Source organism: Homo sapiens, chromosome 3 (assembly GCF_000001405.40).
Source record: "Homo sapiens chromosome 3, GRCh38.p14 Primary Assembly".
Taxonomy (NCBI): Eukaryota; Metazoa; Chordata; class Mammalia; order Primates; family Hominidae; genus Homo; species Homo sapiens.
The window spans coordinates 189,856,560-189,869,754 of record NC_000003.12 but is presented as its reverse complement, the minus strand read 5'-3'; the positions used below and the strand labels follow the sequence as shown (position 1 = coordinate 189,869,754).

General features: G+C 38.0%; 1 protein-coding gene across 13 annotated transcripts in view; it reads right to left on the bottom strand.

Annotated features, from left to right (window-relative positions):
• The window catches only part of TP63 (tumor protein p63), a 300,531-nt gene that overhangs the window by 27,522 nt on the left and 259,814 nt on the right, over positions 1-13,195 (bottom strand). For 10 of the 13 annotated variants that reach the window (NM_001329964.2, NM_003722.5, NM_001114978.2 and 7 more), the window contains 5 exons: positions 5,337-5,523; positions 2,958-3,073; positions 1,813-1,922; positions 1,039-1,175; positions 349-431 (listed from right to left, as the gene is read on the bottom strand). In NM_001329964.2, the coding sequence (NP_001316893.1) occupies positions 349-431; positions 1,039-1,175; positions 1,813-1,922; positions 2,958-3,073; positions 5,337-5,523 (633 nt within the window). The remainder of the gene's footprint in view (positions 1-348; positions 432-1,038; positions 1,176-1,812; positions 1,923-2,957; positions 3,074-5,336; positions 5,524-13,195) is intronic. The other 3 variants (NM_001329148.2, NM_001329149.2, NM_001329150.2) reach the window with 1 other exon arrangement.

Sequence of the window (13,195 nt, the reverse complement as noted above, 5' to 3'; positions counted from 1 at the left end):
CATAAATGGGATTTTGCCCTTATAAAAAAAAAAAAAACACCCTAGAGAGCTCTCTAGCCCTCTCCACTATATGAGAATACAAGGAGAAAATGGCAGTTTGCAACTCAGAAGAGAACTCTCACCAGAACCCGACCATAGGGGCACCTTGATCTCAGACTTCCAGACTCTAGAAAATAAACTTCTGTTGTTTATAAGCCATCTAGTCTACGGTAGTTTGTTGTAGCAGCTTCAACTGACTAAGACACCTCCTTTCCCATTGTCACAGATAATGAGATGATGATCATACTGTAAAAGCCCATTCAAAGAAGGTTAAAATGAAGCAACCATGAACACCCAAGGAAGACCTACTGGTAAGTATAACAGTTCATCATCTGGGGATCTTCGTTTCTTGATGGATGTCATCTGGATACCATGTGTGTTCTGACGAAACGCTGGTGGAGGAAAAATGCAAGTTTCATCCTGGGAACACTTCTAAAGCACTAATGCATATTAAATATACTTAATAATTAAATATTAATGTTAATCAGATTTAATATACATATTAAAAAGACAGTAGTACCAGCAACACATGTAAGATTAGAGGCTCTAGCCCTAAGCGTCCATTTAACTGGGGACAATTGTTTTTACATTGATTGTGATCCTAGCAATAAGGAGGTGGAAGGATGGTAGGGAAGAATACATAAAAGAAATTCAGTATGCTGGGAAATAGCCTTTGGCTTAAGTAATGTTGCAGGAAAGCCCGTATCTTGCTGGTGTGTGTCTGTGAATAGATGATGTTTATGCTACTGGTGTGGAAGTCACATTTTGAGAATCCCTGGACTGAGAAATTGTCACAATGACTACTTGTTTTTGTAAAGCTGTAGTACATGCCTGGAGTCCACTTCAATGCTATACCTATTCTCACTGGCTCTGAGGGCTGACGTCCCACTTGCTGCTGAAGGTCACAGGTCTTATCATGCAGCTTCTCCAATATCACCCCATTCTCCAACATCTGGAGAAGATTCAACCCTACCCCATTTGGCCACTACATCTACTTACGGCGCTTCGTACCATCACCGTTCTTTGTACTGTCCGAAACTTGCTGCTTTCTGATGCTATCTTCATCCGCCTTCCTGTCTCTTCCTGGGCAAGCACAGATCCGGGCCTCAAAGCAGCGTCGGCCCAGGACTTGCCCACTAGGAATTAGAATAAAGGGGAAGAAAGAGTTAAATTCAAAGCATTTTGAAAGTCCCCTGAAGATCTACCACTTCCACTTCCCATATGGGCCATCGCCAACGTACTACCAGCTTAGCCATGGCGGCTTTGAGAATGGACCCAAAAGCACTTGGCAGAACACAAAAGTGCTAACATGCCACAAGTAATATTAGTAAATAACATTCCATTTGTTCTCCAAAGAACCTCTGAGCTATTAGCTGAACAGCTGTATTTAGCTACATATTTTGAAGGAAACTTGAGTTAAGCCAGTGGATGTCTCAAGGATAAAATCCCCTAAGGCAGCGCAGACTTAAAAAAAACTGTGAAATGCCTTGAGGACCATGGTCTAATCAGAACAATTCCAGTCAAATGTCAAGAATTCAGGTATGAAGTGACTTGCACACTTTTCTAGCTCTTTTTTTCCTTCTAACTTTACCCACCTTCCTTTGTCTCCACTTTCTTAGATCTTTTATGTAACCGTTTGTAGCAAGGATTTAGAGCACAAAGGACAAGCTCTCCGCTGCACATGCAAAATTAATGATAAAGCAGCCACGATTTCACTTTGCCCTCTGCTCGTGATTTTTTGTGTAGAATGACAATTTTACATACGCCACTTACTCTCTGGTTTCCAGAGTAACAATGATTAAAATTGGACGGCGGTTCATCCCTCCAACACAACTGCTGTTACACATGAAATTGTACAAGACTGTCGTGAATTCAGTGCCAACCTGAAAACAAGGGGTAAATAATCTGTGTTAACAAGGGTTTAAACTGACGTTGTTCCTTCTCAGTTCTTCCCTCTATTTAAGGAATTCCACTTCTGATGAAGTGATACGCTTCCTCCTAAAAGGGCAAACTCTGAACCCTGTTGTAGATTTTTCTTCATCTTGCCTGCGGGGAAGCTTAAAGCTAATGTTTGCAACACTGAACACTACCTTAGGTGAGACAGGCTTTAACATTTTGTGATCTTTGATCCTGTTCGTTTGTAAGCTGATCCACATCATGTAATTCAAATAGGCTATACCACCTTCATGAATATCACTGAAAAGGGAAAACTGGGGATAATTGCCAAAAACAGTAGCAATGCTCCAAGAATATTTTCCCTGTGTGGATAAAACAGTACAATATAGATTTGAATATATACTTCCATTAATAACATCTTAGAGCTCAAAATGTTCTCAGAATTAAACATAATCTAGTCCAAAGTACATACGTACGGGTAAGGCAACTGAAGCCTAGAGAGAGAGAGTTGCCGAAGGTCCACACAGCAAGCCAGCAAACCAAAGAACTTGGGTCCTGTTACACCAGTGTACTTTCAACCACACTACTCTGCTTCATGCAACAGATTTACAAATCTATCATCTGTTCATTCAAACTTCAGCTAAGAGATCCCTCTTAGGCTTTCCCACTTATGGTAACACTTGCATCCACTACTATTGCTTATCCACTACCCGTCCAACTGCCAGTTGGATAAAACAATCTCATGTATACACCCAATTGCCAGTTCAATTGTTATCTGCCCTTAAGATGGGAATATGGACACAGAGCCATGTTACCAAGTTGATTCAGTGCATATTTAGGTATTCTGAAGGGAAAGCATGTGGAGAACAGGTAGAAAAAAATACAAAAATATTATATATTTGATGACAAGAACTAAGACAGTGATAGATGCTAGAAACATCCCTGTTGCTGAAACAGATGTTCTCTCAAGTCTACTCAGTCCATAGAGGTGTTGTTTTTTGGTTTGGTTTTTTGCTTTTTACCTGGGGTGGCTCATAAGGTACCAGCACACTCTGTCTTCCTGTGATGGGATCTTCTACATACTGGGCATGGCTGTTCCCCTCTACTCGAATCAAATGACTAGGAGGGGCAATCTGTCCTGCAGAGCAGAAAACAATAAAAGAGTTAGTTCTTTACCTTAAAAATAAAGAAAATAAAATGAAATTGCATGAACAGGATGTTGGTGGCAAAAGAAATAGTCTGTATAATAAAGAAAATGTGCATCCTTGAAGAAACGAACAGATCCCATAGCCAGATATCAAATACATGAAGGTGTCATAACCTTTATAGCAACAGAAAGGGCTGGAATGCACATCTACAGTTAAGGGAACAGTCCTATAATTTGGAGTTTAAGATTAATGATTCAAGCTTTATGGAACTCTATAACTACATCTCTGACCTCATCGTGGAGGAAATTTTGCCAGCTTCCTGGAAAATGAAAGGGAAATAAGCAAATTAATTTAAAAAAAAATCAGTTTAACTGAGAAAATGCTGCCCAAAAGTCTGACCAGCAAATACACTGAGAAGCAGAAGATAGCAAGGATATGACTTCCACTTCTTCTTCTTTCCTCCTCCTCAACTTTTAAACATTGTGTTGATTATAAAGATAAGAAACGTTCTGGTGTTTGTGTGTTGAAGGAGTCCCAAGTTGGGTGTAAGAAAAGGGATGCAATTTTAAAAAAGAGACTGAGTAAAGTTTCATAAAATTGTGATATTTAGCAGAGCTCCAAAAAAAAGAAGATGCTCCAAGAACTGGGACCCGTAAAGCTGTTTTTAACAGCTCTTAGGTCCTATAGTCCCAGTCTACAAAAACCATTCAATAAAAGTAAAAAGTGAAGCATATCAAAATGTTCTCTGCTGCATCATCTATTATGGTTAAAACTAAAAACAATTTTTATGTTTAAAAAATGGGAAAACGCTTACAAATAGTATGTTATCTTGGTGAAATACCAAGTTAGGGAGGCTGATAATGAAGTCTATCTATATTGCAATATTCTTTATGGCAGATTGTTAAGTGAAAAGCAAGAGATAAATGTACGGATAATGTGGCCATGTGGGCAAGGACTTGAAATTAATGTGTAAAAAATAGTTTTTTAAAGAGAATTTTGACTTTATTTTCTTCTTTTAAATTCCGATCCATTCTCTTTCTTCTTCCATTGATTTTCTCTACAATTATACTCTCTATATTTATCAATCCTTATATTTTAATATTTTTTCTATAAAGTATCCTAACCCCCAACACCTTTGGCACCCTCAATACTCTTTGAGGATTGCTTATGCTTTATCCTGCTCTTACCTTCCACTTTTCAGCACTCTCTGTTTAGTCTCCCTTCATGGAACTATAATATCAGATCTAAGGGAACTCTTGGCATTGCTGACCTTTTCTGCTAAATTGTTGTAGGATCTGAGATGTAGAATATGAGGCATGACTTATTCATGGATATAGCGTCTAAAGGTGGCCTTCATGATACCTCATCCCTCCACTCCCAGTCCTTTATTTGATTGGCCACAGTATGCTCTAGGCCTTCTATTTATTCCCCTTACCCATTACTTGCCTTCTCATCTTTTTTTCCTTTTTCTTCTTCTGGTTTTTTCATTATTTCTTTCATTTGGTGCTCCTTTCTCTTACCCTTCCAGGTCTCAACTGGTCTAGACTTGAGAATCTTTCTGGGAAAACACTAAATCTGAAGAAACTGTAGCCTGGGCCAAGTAGAATAGCTACCATGTAGTCTCCTGGCACCCTCTTATTTTTTTTTCATTTATTTTTTATTTTTGAGATGGAGTCTCGCTCTGTCGCCCAGACTGGAGTGCAGTGGTGCCATCTTGGTTCACTGCAAGCTTGGCCTCCTGGGTTCACACCATTCTCCTGCCTCAGCCTCCCGAGTAGCTGGGACTACAGGTGCCCGCCACCATGCCCAGCTAATTTTTTTGTATTTTTAGTAGAGATGGAGTTTCACTGTGTTAGCCAGGATGGTCTCGATCTCCTGACCTCATGATCTGCCCACCTCGGCCTCGCAAAGTGCTGGGATTACGGGCATGAGCCACCGTACCCAGCCTCTTATTTTATTTTAAAGGCAAGAAAAATAAAAAGAAGGAAGCAGGAAGGAGTAAAGATAACCAGTAGTTCAGGTCATCTAGTAATTACTAATATTAAATAGTTCAACCACTGTGAAAGCCATGAATTTATTTATCATTATTCTTAGATACTGTCAGCCAAAAAAAAAAAAAAAAAAAAAAAAGGCAGACTGATCTGCCATCGGAGTGCAGAAGTCTGAATCAGGTAGGTGGGTCTCAAACAAAAATGCCCACAGAATCTTGACCTTCAAGGAGGTTGAACAGTTAGAGATTCAAATTCTGCTTACCCTCGTTGAATTCACGGCTCAGCTCATGGTTGGGGCACCGCTTCACCACCTCCGTGACGTGCTCAGCTTTTTTGTAGACAGGCATGGCGCGGATAACAGCTCCCTGAGGAGGTGGGGTCATCACCTTGATCTGGATGGGGCATGTCTTTGCAATTTGGCAGTAGAGTTTCTTCAGTTCAGTGGAATACTGCTTAGAGTTGGGGCCAGTGGAGAAAGGAAGGAGAGAACCAACAGGAGATATTGTTACATTCCAAATCAGAACAATGAAAATCTGTCCACTTTTTAGAGCTGCATGCTGCCTGTTTACTACTGGCTACTATAGATGTGACGTATGTCAATGTTATTAGAGGAAGTTATATTAATATTTTGTGCTATCATAAATAAAACCCCATGTTTACAAAAGGTTTTATGTTTATCAAAACACATTTATGCCATTATTTCCTGTTATTTTCCTTTAGCATGAAGAAGCTGAGGCTCAGAGGGGTTTAAATGAATGAAACCACGAGTAGCTTCATAGATTACCAGAAGCTAAGTGAAAGAAGAGTATTGGCATGTACTGAGTGATATTAAACAACAACCACAAAGACAGATTTCTGCCTAGATTACAATTAATCCAGTCTTTAATATACTTTAGAGACACTCACAGGAATTAGGGTTCATGGGATTTTTTTTAAGATGGAATATCTGTTAGAGAGTGAAGAGATTTCGCCTGACGTCAGATCGCTTGAAACTGTAAAACAAGAACTCCCTTGAACGCCTGCACTTTCCTTCTGATGTCAAAGACTAGGAGAATGCAAGAGCTGAAAGGGGCTGTTTGGTCCTAAACTCCTGAAAACACCGGGCCTGATGTAGCACAGCTAATCATGGCACAGAAAGGATCTGGATGCAGATCTTCTCACTCACAAGTGAGTGAAATTTTTCCTTCTCCAGGGAGAGGAAGTTTAGTGGTGGTTAGTTGCTTGTAAGTTGGCAAAACGGGCTGGAGAAAGCCTGAGACCTAGAACCAGATAGAGATCCCATCCTGTGTTGCTTCCTCTTCCCACTTCTGAAGCAGAAGAGAACCTTCATTCTAATCCTTACACTATAGTAAACCTTATCATCCCTGTGCTCTGGGTCAAAGCCCTATCTCTACATTCCTAGCCACTCAGGCACTTTGCTCAGGCAAACCACCCAGGCACTGGAATTGCTGGCCAAGAGTGGGGCACCTAGTAACATGTATCCAAACAAAGGATAAACACACACACAGGTTGCAATCGTAAGTTGGCCCCAACATCCTCCCAGAGGAAAGATGGTGGGGGGGCAGAGCCATAGTGGCAATCGGATTCGTTACTGATATGTCCCACCCTAACTCTCACTAATGGCAAGTATCTTAACAAAAATCACACATTTAAAATGTTGCTTTATTTCTTCATTTTAAAATATAGTATTTGTTTAAATGACCTTTCCTTTTCTTCCAAGTATTCCAGCACACAAAATTTTTAGTTAGAAGTTTCCCAATGCTAGAAAAGTATTGCAAAATCAGTCCTCCATGTCCGCAGGCCATGGATTAGACGCAGCAAAAGGGTTTTATATAGCTTGAAGAAATAGGAAACATGCCAAACTTCAACCACAAAAATAAAATTCTACTTGGGAAACACTGAATGAAATCTAGATGGGTATTTTTGCTCTAGTGCTTTTAACTAAAGACTTACACAGAACTTGTTTTATGACATGTTAAGAACTTCCTTTTATTGAGAACTTGAAGAAAATAAGCATATCCATTCGTGTTTTCGTTAGGAGGTATATAACGCATAATCTAACCATGAATTTCGTAAGATGACCCTTAGGAAAGATGACTGAAAAATAAGTCTGTCAACTAATACCTAAAGGCAAATAAGGTATCCTTCCAAGTATGTAAAGATTGCAGAAATGAAGGTTAAGTGTTCAGCGTAGAAGTTTCTTAAGGAAAACATTCCATTTTAATAACTGATATACTATAAATCAAGCTCGAGAGAGTACAGTATAAAAGCATTAAGAATAAAATTAAGGATCGTCAAGTGCTAATTCTTGTTCATTCTCGGGGATGGGGGTGGGAATCTAATTTTTAAGCTTAATTAATGATAAATAATAATAGCTTCATCGTTTACTGAGTTCTGCCTTAAGAAATTTTATCCTGATACAACCCTAAGAGGAAGGTATTACAAGCATACTGTCTCTTATCTGAAACCACAGGGGCCAGAATTTTCAGAATCCAGAATTGTTTAGATTTTAGAAAAATAGTAGTTTGCATAACATATGAATGTATCCAGCAGAATTTAGGGTAGCACCATAAGATCAAACATTATTTCTGCAGAATTCATAAATATTCACACTAACTGATAAATGACTACGAAACCTGGGTTTCACCATCAAATGAGTGTGCCACAAACTTAAGAAATCAAAATAAAACTGAACCAACTTCTGATTTTCAGAGCTCTTGGAACTTCAGAATTGTAGATAACAGATAATTGACTTGAATTATCATCCCTATTTTATAAATAAGAAAATAAATGTACAGAAAGGACTTGCCCAAGAACCTGCTTAGTAACTGGTATATGAGTCTATCCTAGTCCTGTAATAACAGTTTCTTATGTCTCTGTTCTCTTAACTCAGCCATGCAAATGTTTACCTTTTTCTAGTTTCCAACATTGTGGTTCTTTTCTGAATCAATTACAATGCTTACCGACTCTTCTCCAAGCATTAAAATGGAGCTCAAAAGTGGTCTATTTAACATAGTTTTATTAATTTCTCAGTATATTGCTTACTCATTTAATGGTAGGGAGAGGCAGCAAGTGATAGAGTTGAAAAAACTTTGGGCTAGGTGGAAGACAGCCTGGACGATTACACCAGCTGCTTCTGGGAATTCAAGGATACAGTCTTGCTCTTTAACATGGTTTATTGAGGACTTTATGAGGCCCTCTGTATTATGGCCTTATCTATCTCTAATTCCCCCTACCCCTCCACCCCCACCCACACACATTTCTCACCCCATGTTCTACCCATACAAACGTTTTAATGCTTCAAACACACCATAGGATCATCACCCAAAATTCAAAATGCTATTCCCTGAAATCATGTCCTTTGCAGCAACATGGATTGAGCTGAAGGCCATTATCCTAAGTGAAACAACTCAGAAAAAGAAAATCAAGTATCATGTGTCCTCACTTATATGTGGGAGATAAGTAGTGAAGACACATGTGGTCGGGCACAGTGGCTCATGCCTGTAATCCCAGCACTTTGGGAGGCCGAGGCAGGCAGGAGCTCAAGACATGCCTGGCCAACATGGAGAAATCCAGTCTCTACTAAACATACGAAAAAAAACCACAAAAACCCCAAAAGGATACACATGGACATAAAGATGGAAATAATGGACACTGAGGACTCCAAAAATGAGGAAGGTAGGAGGGGATGCGGGTTAAAAAATACCTATTGGGTACAATGTTCACTGTTTGGGTGACAGGTACACTAGAAACCCAAACCTCACCATTATACAATATATTCATGTAACAATACTGAACATGTACCTACTGAATCTGAAACCTAAAAAAATTAAAAGCAACAAGCAAGCAACAACAACTACAACAACAAAAGTGATATTCCCAGTGTGGTACACTTCTCTTTTTCCTCTGCTCTCCACGTCATGCCAGGACAATTCAGATATCACTTTTCAGCTAGTACTGTATCTGTACTGCAAACCATATTTTCCAATTTTAGTGGTGAGGGCTTCATATTTGACTAAATCAAAATATCTGACCACAGCCAAGATGCATTATGTTTATTGCTTTTGGTTCAACTACCAGTCCTGCAATTCAGCAACTAGAGGCGCTGAAGTGGTCTGGCACAATCGCTTTTTTTTCTTTTTACAAAGCCAAATCTCTGCTATTCTGTTTACTTCATTGTTTGCAAATCTGTTCCATGATGACCTTTATTTTTTTTACCCAGTACTAAGTTCAGTCTCCCTGGTCTATGTGTATAAACAAGTCCTTAGACTTGCCCACTTCCGTATCCCTTACAAAATAGCACCATCATCTCCAATTTTCCCGGCTTCTGCAAGATTGGAACATGGGAATCTGATTTACAGCAAGATTTTAAAATACCCTGATGATTCAAGTCAGCAGAAATTGTAAATTTGAACACACATGGCTTATTTTACTATCTTTCTTTCTCTGTGGAATTTAAAAAATTCACGTCTAAATTGCTCCTCAACATTGACTTGAGATTCTTTTCATTCTAAGGCCTAATTTATTCTTTTTTGTATGGGGGTTTTGTTTTATGTGGTATACTTTTCCGCAAAGTATACCAGTTTTTAAGTGCAAAAGCTGATGGCTTGACAAATGTACACCGTTGTGCAACTACTACTACAATCAAGATATAGAATATTTCCATTCCTGTTCCAATTATCTTTTGCTTCTTTGCAGTTCATCCCCTCCCTAGCTCCTGGCCTCAACAATCATGTACCTGTTTCCTCCACTAGTTTTACCTTTCCAGAATTTTATGTAAATGGAAAAATATAGTATATAATCTTATGTGATAAGGCTTTTGAGATTTATCTGTGGTTTTTGCACGTATCAGCATTCCATTGTATTTTTGAATAGCACTTCATTATTTGTCAACTCACCAATTATTTCCATTTTTTTCTATTGTGTATAAAACTATTATGAACGTTCATGTACAAATTTTTGTGAGGATGTACATTTCCATTTTTCTTGAATACCTAGGAATATGATTGCTGGGTAAGTGTATGCTTACTAACAAACTCCCAAATAGTTTTACAAAGTGGTTGTGCCATTTTACATTGTCACTTGCAATATATGAGGACTTCATATCCTTGTCAGCATTTGGTATTGTCAGCTGTTATTTTAATTGATGTCATTCTGGTATGTATGCAGATCTCATTGTGGTTTAAATTAACATTCCTCTGATGATTAATAATGTTTAACATCTTTTCATGTACTTATTTCATTCATATTTATATATAATAAAAATAAAAACAAACTTATGTAATTCTATACAACTATTTGATATTTTTTGAAGCATCTGTTCAAATATTTTGTACCTTTTGAGTTAAAAAAATTGTAATACAGACTGTGTTCTCCCCCTTTGTAACACAGAAATTTCACTTTTTAGGTTTTATTTTATGATTGATACAAAAGAATTGTACATATTTATAGGTAAAATGTGATGTTTTGATACATGTCTATATTGTATAATGATCAAATTAGGATATGTAGTATATCCATCGCCTTAAACATTTATCATTTCTTTGTAGTAAGAACATTCAAAATCCTCCCTTCTAGCTATTTTGAAATATGCAATACATTACTGTTAACTATAGTCATCCTACTGTGCAATAGAACAGAACTTATTCCTTCTGTCTAACTGTAATATTGTACCCATTGACCCATCTTTTCCCCATTTCCCCTCACCCCGTGTCCCCTTCTCAGCCTCTGGTAACCCCTATTCTACTCTCAACTTCTATGAGATTAACATTTTTAGATTCCATTTGAGTGAGATCTTGTGGTTACATCTTTCTGTGCCTGGCTTATTTCACTTAATATAATGTCCTCAGATTTATCCATGTTGTTGCAAATGACAGGATCAGGATTTCTTTTTTTATTTTTTGAGACAGGTTCTTGCTCTGTCACTCAGGCTGCAGTACAGTGGCACCATCACGGCTCACTGCATCCTCGACCTCCCAGACTCAAGCAATTCTCCCATTTCAGCCTCCTGAGTAGCTAGGGCTACAGGTGCGCACTACTATGCCCAGCTAATTTTGGTGTATGTTTTTTGTAGAGATGGGGTCTCACTATTTTGCCCAAGCTTGTCTCAAACTCTTAGGCTTAAGTGATCCTCCTGTCTCAGCCTCCCAAAGTACTGGGATTACAGGCATGAGCCACTATGCCCAACCTCAGGATTTCATTATGTTTTTCTGACTGAATAGTATTCTACTGTGCATATACACAACATTTTCTTTTTTTTTTTTTTTTTTTTTTTTTTGAGACGGAGTCTCGCTGTCGCCCAGGCTGGAGTGCAGTGGCGCAATCTCGGCTCACTGCAGGCTCCGCCCCCTGGGGTTCACGCCATTCTCCTGCCTCAGCCTCCCGAGTAGCTGGGACTACAGGCGCCCGCCACCTCGCCCGGCTAATTTTTTGTATTTTTAGTAGAGACGGGGTTTCACCGTGTTAGCCAGGATGGTCTCGATCTCCTGACCTCGTGATCCGCCCGCCTCGGCCTCCCAAAGTGCTGGGATTACAGGCGTGAGCCACCGCGCCCGGCCTATACACAACATTTTCTTATCCATTTATCCTTTGATGGACACTTAGGTTGATTGCATATCTTGGCTATTGCAAATAGTGCTGCAATAAACAGGAGTGAAGATATCCCTCTGACATACTGATTTTATTCCCTTTGGATAAATGCCTAGTAGTGAGATTGCTGGATCACATGGTAGTTATATTTTTAATTTTTCAAGGAACTTCTATACTATTTTCCATAATGGCTGTACTAATTTACATTCCCACTGAAAGTATGTAAAGGTTCTCTTCTCTCCACATCCTCGCTAACAGTTATCTTGTTGTTAATAGCCATTCTAAATGAAGTAGTATTTCATTGTAGTTTGATTTGCATTTCCCTGATTAGTGATATTGGGCATTTTTCATATGCTTATCCTATTTTGACAAATATCCATTCCGGTCTTTTGGCCATTTTTTAATTGGGTTATTTTGGCGATTTGGGGTAATTTGTCAGTTAGGTTGCTTTTGTTTTTAATGTGAGTTTTAGGAGTCCCTTATGTATTTTGGCTACAAGTCTTTTATCAGATATACATTTAAAAATATACTTTCTCCCAGCCTGTAGCTTGGCTTTTTTCCTGCTTTCCCAAAATACTTAATTATCAATATTTTCCCTTGAAAGCTCTTGCTTTTTATATCCTAAGAAATCTTGGCCTGACATTAGGAGGATTTTCTATGTTTTCTTCAAGTAGATTTATTGTCTTAGCTCTTCCATTTAGAACTATATTTTCAGTCAATTGTTGTATATGGTGTGAGTTAAGGGTTTATAATTCTTCTCTTTTTAACAGATATCCAATTGTTCTAACACCATTTGTTGAAAAGATTACCTGCATATTTTCCCTTGTTGAGCTGCCTTGGACTCTTTATTGAAAATCAATTGGTCATATGTGTTCATGTCTGTATCTGAATACTTCCCTCTTTCCTATTGATCTATTTGTCTATCCATATATCAATTTCAAATTGTTTGGGTTAATCTACTTTATAGTAAGTCTTGAAATCAGGTAGTCTGATTCTTGCAATTTTGTTCTTTTTAAAAATTGTTCTGGCTATTTTATATCCTTTGATTTTTCCATACAAAATTTACATGCAGTTTACAATTTCCATAAAAATGCCTGGTAAGATTTTTGCATGAGATTGTGTTAAATATGTAAGGTCTTTTAGGGGAGAACTGATACCTTAGCAATGTGGTGTCTTTTAAACCATGAGCATATGATATCTCTCCATTTAAACAGAGTATCTTTAATTTTACTCAGAAATGTTTTATAGTTTTCAGTGTATAAATACTGTACCTATTTTGTTAGATTTATCCTTCAGTATTTTATTTTAAAATAATTGTTATAAACAGTACTTTTAAAAATGAAAATTTCTTTTTGTTTCTAATGCGTTTTATACTATGTCATGTATTTATACCTAATTAATTCATGTATAATGACCATGTAGCCTATGACCTTGGTAAACTTACTAGTTCTTGTAGCTTTTTGTAGATGCCTTCCTTACGATCTACATAGATGATCATGTCAACTATGAACAGGGACAGTTTTACTTCTTCCT